Genomic DNA, 15,987 nt, shown 5'->3' with positions numbered 1-15,987 from the left:
TAATTCTTGTTATTTGTAATAAAAATTAAAAACATGTTTTCAATTACAAGAGAATTTTAAAATAAACTATAATATATTAATTTAATCTTGTAGATAAGTCCATTAAATTATTTTAAAGACTATATAAAAACATGAAAGCATACTTATAACATTATGTTAAATAGAGGAAAAAGTTGTTGGGCAAAAGAATTGTATATACCAATAGTCTATAGAGTATACAATAACTTTCAAGAAATACATAGGCACATACCTAGTTTTAAAAGAATGAAATTCTAGACCTTTGACTCTCATCTACACTCTTTTGTAATACTAATTTGGCCTGAGAATTTCTGGTTTGAAGCAGGGTCTCCTTTTCTAACTTTGCAAAGGAAAAGCCCAACCCTCTCCTTTCCTGAATCTTACGATGTGAATTGTTCTAGGCTGTATAAATGGCTGAGACTCCCTAACAAGAGAATAATTGACAATATTGACATTGGTATTGGGAAAGGAACTGACCTTAATAAAATAGCAGTCCCTTTCCAAGGGCATTTAACTTCTGCAAGTCGGTTTCGAATTCTTTGCTTAAAAAAAAAAAAATAGAAAGAGGATGCACTTGAGTGGTTAGTAGATAGATCATAAAAAATAATTTTTGTGTCTTGGCTGGAAGCCATCATTCTCAGCCAGCTAACAGGAACAAAAATCCAAACACCGCATGTTCTCACTCATAGGTGAGAGTTGAACAATGAGAACACAGGGAGGGGAACATCACACACTGGGGCCTGTCGGGGGGTGGGGGACAAGGAGAAGGATAGCATTAGGAGAAATACCTAATGTAGATGACGGGTTGATAGGTGCAGCAAACCACCGTGGCACATGTATACCTATGTAACAAACCTACACATTCTGCACATGTATCCCAGAACTTAAAGTATAATAAAAAAATAAAATAATTTTTGTTGATGCATCACTATGTGATTTGTGACACAGAGCTTCATAAAGAGTTCAAAAAATTGTGGCATTATGTAAACATGGTTTCTCAGCACTCACATCTATTCAAAAAATGAAAAAGAATTGATGATGAATTTTGTTTCATTCTGTCAATAAATAATCATCATCAATGGATGCAGAATTTAAAAGGCAAAGATCTATTTACGTCATTAAGAAAAGCATCACCAATAAAGTTTTACTCCTAATGCTTAATCATTTTTCATTAAACTTTTAATGTGTTATGATCCTTTGGACAATTATATACAAAGAAAAATTAAAATCACACATCATTAAAAACTTTTTACAAAATGCAACCTTATGGTCACAGGAAATGAAAACAATTTAAGTTTTAATGTATATGGACCTTTTAGTTGCAGAGAATAATCTACTGATCAATAAAAGAAATAATAACACAAATATGTTATATTAAAATATATTTGTAGGAATATGTAAAACATCTGTAGAAATGACTGGAATGAGAATATGAATAGAAAGAGAAAAATAAAAGATGTAAAACTTTAAATTCATTAAGGGAATTTTTAAATGGATGATATTAGGCATCAAATCATTATTCTATTGGATTCATTTTGAAAATTGTGTAGCAATTTAATTTTAAACTATTAATATTTACAATGTGCCATAAAGTGCACCTTAGCAATGATTTAAAAATATGACATAAATTTTATATGCCAACCTAAAAATTTGCAGTCACTTACAGAGTTTTGCAAACTTTGGGACTATAGAAGCAAAAATAATATTTAAGCAACTGTTATATATTTTTAAATTTTTATTGTTTTTAAACTTCTAAAACAAATAAACAAAAAAGTATGGTCTTCAAAAGACTAGAAGAATTACTCCAAAATGAAAATGGTTATATTTGGTCACTGGGAATAAACATTTTCTCTCTTCCACTAATTTACTTATTGGTTATATATTTTTCTTGATGAATTTATTAGCTTGAATCATCCTTATAATAATAGCAAAGGTTATGACATTTAGAAATAATTATGTATAAATTTAAACTCAATGACCTGTGAGTAAATGTCCTAGATGTCTTCTTAGGGGCAAAGTTCAGAAGTTTTAGTACTTCCATCTTGTAATAATCATTTCAGCAGTATCGCATAGTTTTTGTTTATTAAAAGATTCTTGGCAGCCATACAAATGACTGGGTTTGCCAGAAGACTGTTGTTTATCAATTAGAATGTTTTTGCATCTGCCACATTTTTCCTTTTTATCTGACATTTTAAATCTAAAAACCCACTGGGTGTTTACAGAGATTTAGGATCTGTCTTGCTCCTACCTCAGCATCCTTCATAAAGCTCTAATACTTTTAACCTCTTACCAAAACAGAGTGACTCACAACTATTAGTGGTCAGGTTAGTCAGAAACTAGATTTAAATTGCTTCCCTGTTTTTCCCCCACCCACAGGGTGAAAGACAATGAATCAGGAAGACTGAGGAGACTATTAACAAGTGAATGAAAGGAAATCTTTACCTAATAGGATATCCAGTCCTAAAAATTGTAGATTTGAGAATTAAACACCTAGCACATTTGAATCAGGAAGAAAGACTAGGCAACTTTGATGGAATTTTCAAATAGGTTAAGAGGCCAGTAGCTCTGTGCTCTAAGCCTAGAGGCAAGCAGAAAAGAACAAGAGTCTTGGGATAAATGGGAAATAAAATGCCAAGGCAGAAAAAAATGAATAACAAACATTTAAAGAGCATTATATTTCACATGTCTTCGATAATATGAAGGACAAAACACTTGTCCTGCCTGGTAAAATAGGGTCTGAAAGATTGTTCCTTCAAATTAAAGGCAAAAATTAAATAAAATAAACCACAAAGGAAGAGCAGTGAAGGAAATAATTTTTCCCTCAATGTCCTTACAAAGTAAGGGAGAGACAGGATAGTCCAGTGAAGGAATATGAAACCAAGTCATTTTAGAGTAAAATGGCACTTTAACTTCATATTGTTATTCCAAAACTCAGTTCCATACTCTCATATTTACAGCCTGAAGTGCTAAGTATGCCAAGGTGCTATATATTTGAGTTGGTTTCTGTTTTCAGACACAAAGAAAGCCTGGTAAAAACTGCTTTCTTATTTCTAGAAAAAGAAAACAAAGGATAACTATTTTGTAAAAACAAACAAAAAATAACAGTTTGGCTTTGACACATAGAATTAAAGAATAATTATTTAATCTCTCTATGTCTAGAGGGAATATTAGTCCATCCAGTTGACTCATCTTCATCTTTCTAGCTTCCAATCAGGTCTGCAATTTAAAGGGTGACAGGAGCATGATACTCTTAAATATCATCTACATTAATGTGAACCACATTTTCACTCCTCTCCCAGTCAAACTATTTATTACAAAGCAGCAGAAAAAGAGAATGGTGTGTCCTCCACAAATGATTGATTTCATAAGCAGTTGTGTCACTCTTGACAGTCACTTTGCTTCATATTCCCCTGCAGATGACCCTGATCATAAAAAAGAATATTCATACTCAAGGCCATTGGAATGAGAACATAAAGGGCTTCCTAAAAAATGGTAAATGGTTTTGAGAACATTATCCAAACATTATTTCCCAAACCCCTAGATGCAAGACTCAAAAGAGAGGTTCATAAAATTATTTATTGCTAGATTTTTCCAAGTGTAGACTTGTGATACCTCCTCTCACTGAGGTTCAAATATAGTGATGTCTGCTTTCTAGATGCTGCAGCTTTCTGAAAGGGAAAACTTGTCATAACATACCTAGAAGACTCTCCATCTGAAGTTGTCACATTATACTCTTGCTGTATCTTGCTTAACCTGATAGAATCAAAATACAATATTCATCATCAACATGTAAAGTTCTGTCCCTCTGAAGGTTTCCTATGTCTCACTAATACACTATGATCCAGGCTCTGCAAATAGATGAAAAGTCATTACCTGATCCAAGTCTTTGGAGGTCTGTCTTCAAGTCCTGGGAGCTTCAGGTGCATTCCAGATCCTTCCAGAGGCAACTGTCAGTGGAACATGCTCTGTTTTAAACAGCTCAAAAGATGGCGCAACTAGAAATTTCTCAACTGGAAGCAGATTAATCATGGTTTCAAATATAACAGATGCTACTAAGGTAAACTTGTTAGGTGAGTTCTTAGCCAGTGATGAAAAAGAATGTGATTGAGACTAAAATTCTCACTCCTGCCAAGCCAATCCTCATGTTCCATGCCTCAAGGGTCAGATGAATTGGAAGATTCTCAGCAGAATCTGAGACTCTCTACTTAGAAAATAATTTCCACCAAGGGTGGATGAAATGACCCCAGTCATACGAGCATCTCTGTAAAATGCCACATCCTCCTGCCTCATCCAGCTGCATCACTTCTAATGCTACCACATTGTCAATTATTGCTTTGGCTTTTCTGAATTTCTTTTACCTTGGTATGTAAATTGGGCATTAGAATTGGTAGGAAATAGTATATCCAATTCTTTCAAGATCTCTAGCTAGCTAAAGGCAAATAAACAAAAACAAAACTGGCTTTTTTTTTCTACTCTCCAACCAATCTCTTTCTTGCCATGTAAGCTGTCTTGTGTCTGCACTCCATGAAAGTTTGAAATCAGATAATCTGGAATTCCAGAACTGCATAGAGCTCTATTTTCAGTAGTGGGCATTTATATTATCGAAAATTACAAGGGTAATTACAAGTCCAGTTTGGGTAAATTAAAACAACCAAATTTCTAAAATGATCTCAAAACTAATATTTTCCATGCTTCAAAGTAATCTGAAGAGGAAGAGTATTCCTGAATTATTTCCTGAATTTTCATCATTGGTTCAGACATGTCTATATACACGCAGAGCATAGGAAAGAATTGCAAACACACTTGTATCAGAACGTGCATTTTAGTCAGGTAGGACTTAGTGGCATGAGGTTAGTTTAAATACCTTCAAGTTTCTTTGGATTGTGTCAGTTACTAATTAGGTTCCATTAGAGTCAGTTTGATTGGAAATTGTAGTTGGAATTGGCTTTGCTTCCATTACTATAATAGTTTCAACCACTTAATTATTTACAGATTTACTTGATTTATGAGAAACGTTTTATATTCTTATATTTTTAATGTATAATTCCACTTAAAATGTAGTACATTCTACTGGCATGCCAATTTGAGTCTCTGAAATAAAACATAGCAACTGGAAAGATAGTTCATGTTTTGGCAATATACAAACTGCTGGAATCTAGTCTATGCTAGCAAATACAAACATTTCTATACTAGAAAACACAGATATTCTTGGGGAAAAAAGAAAAGAAACGATGGAATTTTCAATTATTACATAGTTGATCTTGAACTATTTTGCCAAACATTTTCTGCAATGCATTCCTACCCACAGGAAATCCAAATCATTGTAGTTTGGGGCACTTTTACACTGAATGGGTTATTCATCCATATAAGGACCCTTTACTGCTTTGTTTATTCTTTTATAAATTTTATTTAATTTATTTTGACCTTTGTCCCTGATCCCTACTTTCATTCAATCTCTAGTTTATCCTAAAGAGTGACCATATCACTGTAAAGTATATAGCATATATGAGATTTTCATATATTATTTTATTATAAATCTCATTGTTTCCTACTTTTCTTACTGTACATTATGCCTGTGAACTGGATTGTCTCCATAATTTGTGGGGCCCAGTGCCAAATTTTAAATATGGGACTTCTTATGAATAATAATTTAAAGATGATGACAACAAAGTGTCTAAGTGTGAGGGCCTTCTAACCACACCTTCTAATCCTCTAGAGTTGCATATTTCACACATCTATAAAGCAGGCCTGGCTTGTGAGAATCCAACATGTTGCATTAAGCATATGTTGTTTGTTACTTCTTACTGTAAAACCTCCACCTTTAAACTGTCCTATTCCCCAATGACCGATAATTTCATTCCCTTAAATTCTGCACCATTAAATATGTCAGCATTTATATGCCCCACGATGGAATAGTGTGCATGCCATACATCTAGGAATGAGAATTTTTTGGTCATAGGTCATATGGTTGATCAATTTTACTATATATTTCCGGATTATTCCAGAAATAGGCTATGCACTTCCATCAACAGTGCTGAGTATTCATTTCCCACTCAGTTTGCTAGTCTATTTCTGTCAATCTGTCATTTCTCTTTTCTTTTTCGTTTTTTTTTTTTTTTTTTTTTAACGTAGTTTTGCTCTGTGGCCCAGGCTGGAGTGCAGTGGTGCGATCTCAGCTCACTGCAACCTCTGCCTCCGGGACTCAAGTGACTCTTCTGCCTCAGCCTCCCAAGTAGCTGGGACTACAGGTGTGCACCACCATGCCCGGCTAATTTTTCTGTTTGGTAGAGACAGGGTTTCACTATGTTGGCCAGGCTGGTCTCAAACTCCTAACCTCAAGTGATCCACCTGCCTTGGCCTCCCAAAGTTCTGGGATTACAGGCATGAGCCACCACGCCTAGCCATTTCTCTTTTCATTTATGATTTAATTCATTGAACAGAAATCCATCTCTGTTTACACACATACTTGTATAGTAATATTTATGATTTTAGGGTCTTTAAAAAATTATTTCTCCAATCCCAGGACACAAAATAAAGGGGCTTTCCCTTCTCCTGTCTTGGTAGTGGCTTTAGGGCCCTGCAGAAGGGTAGGGCCCATCTTCTCTTTCACTCCCTCTCCTTGCCTTATCATGCGGAAGTAGGTGTTTTTCCATGAAACACTTCATCTCCTACTTCCATCAAGGCTTCTAACACCCCCAAGGTATGTGGGCGGATCAAGAGAAAGAACCTTGCCCTCTAACTGACTCATGCTGCCCATACTGCATGGCCAGGATGTTTACCCAGCTGCTTGTATTCCAGGTGTTAGGGAGGTCTTATAGAGAATGCATCTTTTAGAATGGAGCTGAGCTGAGTCTGTAATCTACACACATTTTAAAATTTGTGCCTTTAGGTCTGAACCAGGAATTTATTGTTTTCTTAAGGAGATTAAATTCCTTGGTATTTGCATAACAACTACTCTTGTTTTGGTTAATTACTTTGGAGTACCATCCCCTGAGGTTTGCATTTTTTGTGAGACTGTTGGTAGGGACCTAGGCTATCTGTATCTGAGGTTTAAAATCTCGAATTTAGGGTATGTGATTCTTCAATGGTGTGCAATGAGGACCTTTTGTAAGTGCACCTATGTATGTGGACCTGGTATTTTGAATGGCTGGAGTATATTAGAGCTTATGAGTCAGAGGGAAACAAGGCCCACAGACAAGACAAACATCAAAACTTACTCCCTTTGCTAATGACTGTAGCAATTCATTAAGGCGTGTGGATTTTCCTAGGAAGGGGGTGGTAAATTGGAAAACAACTGAGGAAGGTATTACAGTATGTTTTTACCCTAAGATGTCCTCATTTGTAAAATGTACCATTGTATTACATACTCCTAGACAAGAAAAGCAATGTCAGTTATATTTTTAAGACATCATCAATTTTAAGGAGCATTCTGAGTAGAGATACAAAAATGTAAAACAAAAATGCACTTTGAAATCAATGAAAGGTAGTTTATTCTAATCCAAGGACTGTTAACTCTTCGTAATGATTTATTTTATGATTCAGATGAGTTAAAACACTCACATGCTTTGGCTTTTGATAAAGTGAAATTACCTAGGATTTTGCAAGGCCCAAAGATCTCTTCTTCAAATTTTGTAGGGGCTTTAAGAGGCCACAGCTACTGGGAAAAGGGTCTTGAGACAGGTTATCTGTTAACTCTAATTGTTACCCAAACTTTGCACAGTAGGTGTATAATCTCCATTTTACAGGTATGGAAACTGAAATTCATAGAAATTATAACATGCTTAGAGAACCTGCAGATGAAGTCTAAATAATATAATGTATAGCCCTTCATTGAGACCTTTAATTCATAGAGCACCAAATGCCTGGTTGCCGTACTATGTAGATACTTGATATTTTGTTGTAGGTCTCATAGTCCAAATGGCTACCTGTACATGTTTTGGAATGTAGAAATTATATTCCCATTATTGTATAATAAGAAATACAATTTATAACTTAGTCCAAATAAAGTTTCTAAGTCAATATTATTCGTTCATGTTATTATCCAATAAGCTACATGTGTAAACAGGGTATAAATCTGTTCCTCCTATAAAATGGAAGGAGGCAAAATAAAATTCCTCCTCCTCTCAAAATATTTTCTCCACAGACTGGTTGTCTATAATGCCTGTCTTTAAGAATTCATATTTTAAAAGAAAAAATATCTAGGAAAATAGAAGAATTAATACATATGTTCAAGAGATAATTCTTTGGATAAATACTAACAATTATAACAGAAAAAGTAATATACAAGATTCAGACTAAGAAAAGGAATTTAATTCTTTGTGCAGAGATAATTTGAAAACAAATTTAAGAGAATGCTTTAAGACAGTGTGTTAGCATTTTTCAAAGTGCCTAACTTAGAAAAATATTTGTACAAAAGAATGAATTAAACAGCAACATATTCTTGAACAAAAAAGTTTAAAAAAACTACTTTGTGCTCTTAGAGATTCTTAATGCATATCAGCTTTACAAACGCTCTGGATGAAATGGAAGGCTTTATTGGGAAATAATAAATGATCAACATTAACTCCAGAGGTCATAAAAAAAACCTGAAGAAATCATTGAGTTTAAAAGACAATAAAACATCTCTTCATGAAAAATTCATGCTTAAAGGGGTTATAGATTATAGTTCTATCAAGTCATCAAGGAATAGACAATTCTTATGCTATCTAATCTATTACAGGGGGATTTAAAAATGAAATTTTCTAATGCACCTGACAGGCTAGAATAATCCTGATATTAAAAAATTTAGAAGGTTAGAAACAACTACAGACCATGCTTACTTATAAATTGTGATGCATTATTGCTAAGTATTAGCAAATATAATCCACCAAGTAGGGCTCATTCTAGCTGTGCAAAGGTAGAATAATATAATGAAATCTTCCAATATAAAATGCGTTTTAATGCCAAGACTTTAGAACACAATAAAGGTTGGTTAAGATTTGTGGGTAGGCCGGGTGTGGTGGCTCATGCCTATAGTCCCAGCACTTTGGAAGGCCAAAATGGGAGAACTGCTTGAGTCCACGTGTTCAAGATTAGCCTGGGCAATATAGCAAGACCTCCATTTCTACCAAAAAAAAAAAAGATACAAAAAAAGAAAGTTATCTAGGCTTGGAGTGGTGGTGCATGGCATGGTGGTGCATGTCTGTAACCTCAGCTATTCAAGAGGCTAAAGTGGGAGGATTGCATAAACCCAGGAGTTGGAGGCTATAGTGAACTATGATGGTGCCACTGCATTACAGGATAAGTAATAGAGTGAGGTCTGTCTCTGGCTTTTTTTTTAATTTGGGGAATTAATAACTAAAAATTAGAGTATTAGCATTCAAACCGTGGCTACAATGAAGTATGGAATACTCTTAAACAAATTCCAAGTCCCTGAAACGCCATGTGATACTTTTTCTGTTATCTATGTATTATTTATTTATTTGCAAAGCAAAATACTAGCATAGTCCTGAATATTTGTCTTCCTTAACAGCAGCCATGGAGGTGATGCCACCAGCCATGACTGGTGTTGCTAATTTTCCCCCATTTTCCTCCTCCTCTTTTCCTTCTGTTTCTCCTCTTTTTTCTTCTAACTCTTCTTTTTCCTCCTCCTCTTCTTCTTCTCTCCAACTCCTCTTCTTCCTCTTATTCCTTCTTCTTAATTTTTTTTACTATGGTAAAATACACACAACATAAAATAAATCATTTTAACCCCCTTTAAGTGTACACTTAATGTGTCATTAAGTACATTCATGTGGCTGTGCAAACCATTCCTGATGATTTATTGATGTCCCATTCTGGAACCCCTAAACTCAGGCTGGGGCTAGCATAATCATTGCCAATATGCTTGAAAAGTGGAGAGTTGCAGACCTCTGAAATGCAGCTTGGTCTTGCTGGGCAAACCCTTCTGGGAGCTGATCCAGTACAGCTCAGCCATCACCTCCATGGACTCCTGCTATGCCGGAGCTCTCCTGCCACCACTGTCCCAGCTGCATAGTCATTACTGTGTAAGTGAAATAAGACTTGAGCGACTCTTTTCTTATAACCAGTTGAATAATTCTCCATTTCCTTAAAAATATTTTTCTTTCTGAATAGAAAGTGCTCCCCCATCAATCCTGCATCTTTACACTAGCAGTCCTGAAGCTTTTCCTAAGTGTTCAACTGCCTGTTGAGGCATTGCACATTTTCAAACACATTGCTGTTTATTGATACAATTGTACAGCCTTTTCTGGATCTACATTTTCTATGAGCTTTCCAGCTTGCTCCACCACTTCTGAGGTTGCTGGGTCAGGGGTGCTGTTTTCTCGATACATCACGCAGACTGGTTGTTTCTGCATCTCCTTCAACATCATGCCAGCTTGCTTGGAAGCCCTGCTTTTCCACATTCAAAAAAGGCACCGTCACAGTCTGGCTTCCATTTTGAAAAGGTAGTTTGCAGGTATTTATCTGCTTTGCCAAGGGACTCCAGCCCCTTATTTCTCTTTTGCACTACCATGTCCACATGGGCCTGCATGGTGGATGAGAAAGCCTATTTCTTTTGGGCCCTGACCAGCTGACCAGTAAGAGTTCTGGTCAGCTATTCATAGGATTTTCATTTCAGACATCATCAGTTTACTTATTCATGGTCTCTCTCCCTTATTTGAATATAAGCTCTATGTCAACTTTTCAATCACTGTGTCCCATGCCTGGCACATCACATGAAGATAAAAAGGTATGCAGGGAGAAGGGGTACAGAGTTTCCAAGCCCTCCCTTGTGCCCCAGTCTCTAGGAACGTCCAGATATTCAGCTATATAGAAGCTCCAAGATCCTGTCTCTTAAAAAAATTTTTTTTAAATGAAAGATTTGTGGGTAAAGGATGAATTATTTTTTGGATAACATTAGAAAATTGACTAAATATTTGAAACAAAATAAAGCTAAATACCCCATTTGAAATACCAAAGAATTTACAAGTAAATTAAGGATTTAAATATCAAACAGAACAATATCAAAACCCAAAGAAAATGTAGGTACATATTTTTATATTAGAATGAGAAAAGGCTTTCTAAATATGATACCTAAGGCAGAATTCATGACAATAAATCATTAATAGATTAAACTATATAAAACTTTCAATAGTTTTACAATTCCATAAGTGTCATAAGAACACTTCAAAAGCAATGAATTCAGTTGATAATTATATTAAATTTTCACTTATTCCCCTCTTTGTCTGTATCTCTTCAGTTGCTCCATGAAATTTCCTCATAGAATTATGGAATTTTAGAGCTCCTGGGGTCCTTAGAGATTATGTATTCATATTGCTTTATTTAAAGGAAGCTTGCACTTTAAGAAATTAAGATTGACTGAAGGTTTGTAGCAGAACTAAGGTTAGAACTGATTTCCTGCCCAGTATTAATTTTACTACATTACTGTGTTCTTTAACCAAAAGTCATAAAGAACATTGCATTTGTATAGGTACACACATATATATATAACTGTGAACACATACACACTCAAATACGCAGATTATTCTTGAGTTGAAGTTTGGGAAAAAGCACCTAGATTTGAATTTTGACTCAGTTGCTTACAAAGTAGTTGAGCTTTTGGAAGCTTCTCTGGCAATTTTTGAAATAAAAACAATTATGGTAATTGTAGTGATGTAGCTACCATTTATTGAACATCAACTATGGGCCAGGCACTGAGCTAAGGATTTGACCTATATGTTTTAGTCCTTAGTACAAGCCTACAAAGTATGAATAGTTGCCCTCACTTATAAATGAAGAACCCGTGCTTGGAGAGATTAAGCACTTTATTTAAAGTCACTCATCCAGGTCAGGGAGGAAACTGCTCTTGCTCTTTCCACAGTAGGTTTTCATTTGTAAAATGTAGACAAAATGTGAATGCGATGATGCATACAATGTGCTTAACACAGTGCATGATGTTTAGTAGATATTAAATAAATATCAGTCCCCTTTCCTCTTTAGGCAAGATCTAGGTTACATATTTAACTATGGTAGGAAAAGATGACACGCTGAGTTGACAAGAAATGGGAGAGCGGTACTCTGGAAAGCCAATATCATGAAATCCTATATTTCTCCTTCCTTCTAGGTCCACTTCACTTGTCTGAGGGTTCATTGTGATTGGTGGCCACATTCTCTCACCGTTAGAGTCCCATGGAACCTGATAGTCACCAAAAGAAGCCCTAATCCAAGAGTCTTTCCTCTCCTGCCTAATCCTTCAGTAAGGCAGCTGCTGACACCTCCTCCACCTAATACATATTTCTTAAACTTCTCCTGTTGCCAAAATCCTTTTTTCCTACTCGGGCCCAGTAGCCGTCACTATCAGGGTCTTTGCTGCCTCTTTTGATAGTTGATTGAAGCCTTGTGAAGTGGAGGAAATGCTTCACGTGATGGTGTAGGAGTGTGTGTTTTCATTGGGGATTATAACTGAGACTGCAGTTGGAAAGGATATATGTTCCTGGAGTTTTCTGTTGTAGTTCTAGTGCAGATTTAGATTCCATTAATATGACATAGTAGTATATGATGATTTAAATAGACTTAGGTGAGATGATGTAGAAATTCAGCCATTGTATAGAGCAGTGCTACTCAAATTGTGGTCTGTGGACATAGCACCAGCAGCAGCAGGAGCTTGTTAAAATGCGATTTCCTTGGGTTGCACTACAAATACACTGAATCAGGGTCTCTGGACTTGGGTCTCTGTGTTTCACCAAGATCTCCAGGAGATTTCTGGGCATGGTAAAGTCTGAAAAGCTCTGACCTACAGCACCATTTTCATAGCAAAATGTGTTGCAAGTTTCAGAGTAGCAATTTAGAAGTTAACACATTTATAGACAACCCATTATTAAGTGCAGGCATGGCTGACTTTATGAAAATGAGTAGAGGGCTATTGACACTGTCTCCAAGGAGTACATCAGATAGTAAAACCTCTCTTTCCAGTGTCTTCCACCCTTAAGACCATGATTCATTTGTACATCCTTGGCCAACATAAGGTTCCCACACGCACCTGATTTGTGAGAACAGAAAAAGGTACACTTATGCAGAAAAGCTAAAGTTTGGCTGAAATTTTTAGAATTTAGGTTTATTCCTGCCCCAACACGCTACTTCGGCAATCGTATTTTCACTTATATGTTGCCTGTATTCAGAAGGACAGACTGTTGATAAGGTTAATAAAAATACACATTCTTATGTATGTTGTGCTCTATTTTCAGCTTAGCTCAATTAACCCACTCTCAAGTGCCACTTCCTACCCAAACCTGACTGACCAAAGGCAAAGTTCAGATCTATAGGATTGCGTATTCCAAAAGCTTTTGGCACGGTTTTTTGCACATAGTAGATTGAGTGCTAATTGATTAATAGAGGTGATTTTTTTTCGTTTTCAAGGAAATGCTTGAGTTTTGTTTTAGAAAACAAATTGTTCTGTATTTTTAAAAAAACTCCTAGAGGTAATAAAAATATTAAAATGATTCTATGAAAAAAATTTAACCCAATAGCCTTGTTTTGCTTCAGTGCAACTTAACATTGCTTTTCTCTCCAATCCTGAGGGTGACATATTATCAGTAAGGGTGGGTACAGCTCTGATATGGTTTGGTTCTGTGTCCCCACCCAAACCTCATGTCGAATTGTAAGCCCATGTGTTGGAGGAGAGACCAACCTGGTGGGAGGTTATTGAATCATGGGGGCAGACTTTCCCCTTGCTGTTCTCATGATAGTCAGTGAGTTCTCATGAGATCTGGTTGTTTGAAAGTGTGTAGCACTTCTCCCTTTGCTCTCTGTCTCTCTCCTGCTGCCGTGTGAAGATATGCCTTGCTTCCCTTTCACCTGCCATGACTCTAAGTTTCCTGAGGCCTCCCCAGCCATGTGGAACTGTGAGCCCATTAAACCTTTTCCTCACAAATTACCCAGTCTCGGATATTCTTTATAGCAGTGTGAGAACTAATACAGGCTCTCTTCTAGAAGATGTATCAGAATCTCTGAGGGTGATATGAATACAGTTTGAATAAACCCACTGATAATTATGAAACTCCTCTGTTGATAGTCACAGTTATAAACAAGCAATAACTAGCTAGGATATATGCTAAAAAATGTACTTTATGTTAGCAACGATATTACAAAATCTCTAGAAATACCTTGAATAAAAAATGAGGGTGACCTATATGTAGAAAACAGCACAGTTTTACTGAGGGACATAGATTAAAAAAAAAGTAAGCCATTCAATGTTTTGAAGGAGTATGAGCTTTGAAAATTGTTCAACTCTTAAATTATTAAAAAGGCTTAATGCAATTTCAATTAAAATTCTGGTGAATTTTTTTCAAACTTGTTGAAAACATAATTTTCTTGAGAAGAAAACGGCAAAAATATTTAAGAATATTGATTTAAAGCAGAATAACAAGATAGGACTTAACCAAGTACACACACACACACACACACACACACAGACACACACAAATTTACTATATATATACACACCCAACTATCAATTTACTTACCCTATATATATATTCTCTATATATATATCCTATATATATTATAGATATATATAGTAGATATATAGAGATATACAGATATATATACCATATATATATATAGTAAGTATATATATTTACCCTATATATATAAATCTGTAGTAAGTGGATATATATATATCTACTTACCATACATATATATATATATGGTAAATATATATACTTACTATATATATAGGGTAAGTAGATAAATAGATAGGGTAAGTAGATAGATAAATACACTTACTATATATATATGTATACACACACACATACACATACACACACATGCTTACCCAACTATTTTTTATATATATATTTATGTATATATATATATACATAAATATATATGTATATGTAATAAATATATATGTATATATATATTACATATATATATACAATATATAATATATATAAAATATATATAATATTTTATATATATATTTATGTATATATGGTAAGTAGATAGATATAAAATATATATGTGTGTGTGTATATATATAGTAAGTGTATTTATCTATCTACTTACCTTATCTATTATCTACTTACCCTATATATATTATATATTTTAAATATTAATATTAAATATGTATTTTAAAATATTTTAATGATCAGGATTCTTTTATGATTTCAAATCTTTGCTGTGTTAATAGGATTTTTGGTTTTTTTCATCTCAATTACTTCAGACTGACAGTGCAATTACCTGAATTAATTGCTCAGTAATCTGACTAAATAAATTATATATATATAATATATTGTATATATAATAATATATAATATATATATTTATATTTTTTAAGGTAGAGACAGGGTCTTACCATGTTACCCAGACTGGCCTCAAATCCTGACCTCAAGTGCTCCTCCTGCTTTAGCCTCCCAAAGTGCTGGGATAAGAGGCTTGAGCCACTGTACCTTGTGGCAATAAAGTTTTAAAATGAATTTTAAAGCTAAACATTTTAAAAGTGTGTCATAGAGCAAGAATTGACCACAGATCTACAAAAGTGAAAAAGAAAGGTCACAACCAATTAAAAAATAGCAAAATATAATATATCGCATATTATATAATAAAGAGTATACATCAGCAGAAGAGAAAAGACTAATGTTAAAGATAAATGTTAAATTGGAAAATAAATTTGATAGGTTTTTGTGGTCTTAGAGCAAATGTGTTGCATCTAGCAGGAATGAATAAATATAAAACATTTTCAAATTTGAGATGATTTTCAAAATTGACACCATTAGTTATAAATTGCAAACTGGATTCAGACTGAGCTCTATTTAAAGCCTGTGTTCCACTACTCTGCCTTGGAATACAGGAGAAAAAAAGATAAGGAATAAGTGGTGGGGGGTGGGAGGTGTCTTTTATTCAGCCTATATTTATATCTTCTATATAAACTAAGACTTTAAGATCAACAAGTATTTTAAAATATTTTAATGATCAGGATTCTTTTATGAT

The 15,987-nt window shown here is 34.7% G+C and overlaps 1 protein-coding gene and 1 pseudogene across 10 annotated transcripts in view, besides 1 other annotated feature; both read right to left on the bottom strand.

The window, feature by feature from the left end:
- Positions 1-3,963, bottom strand: part of LIPK (lipase family member K) — a 46,528-nt gene extending 42,565 nt beyond the window's left edge. For 8 of the 10 annotated variants that reach the window (XR_001747183.3, XR_001747184.3, NM_001080518.2 and 5 more), the window contains exon 1: positions 3,892-3,963. Coding sequence is in view for 6 of the 10 variants with exons in the window: in XM_011540073.4 (XP_011538375.1) it covers positions 3,892-3,944 (53 nt within the window). In the remaining 4 variants the exon portion in view is untranslated. Of the gene's footprint in view, positions 1-3,714; positions 3,772-3,891 lie in introns of all 10 variants that reach the window. The other 2 variants (XM_011540075.2, NM_001378091.1) reach the window with 1 other exon arrangement.
- Positions 6,534-7,383: an enhancer, noted in NCBI's record as "OCT4-NANOG hESC enhancer chr10:90462586-90463435 (GRCh37/hg19 assembly coordinates)". NCBI's record gives its function as "activates a minimal SCP1, AML or CMV promoter by ChIP-STARR-seq in naive H9 embryonic stem cells {active_cell/tissue: H9 hESC(naive)}" and the evidence as "EXISTENCE:reporter gene assay evidence [ECO:0000049][PMID:30033119]".
- NAPGP1 (N-ethylmaleimide-sensitive factor attachment protein, gamma pseudogene 1) lies at positions 9,811-10,531 on the bottom strand (annotated as a pseudogene).

The sequence above is a fragment of the Homo sapiens genome, chromosome 10, assembly GCF_000001405.40.
Source record: "Homo sapiens chromosome 10, GRCh38.p14 Primary Assembly".
NCBI classification, from domain to species: Eukaryota; Metazoa; Chordata; class Mammalia; order Primates; family Hominidae; genus Homo; species Homo sapiens.
The sequence above is the reverse complement of the archived record's forward strand: the minus strand, read 5'-3'. Positions and strand labels throughout refer to the sequence as shown.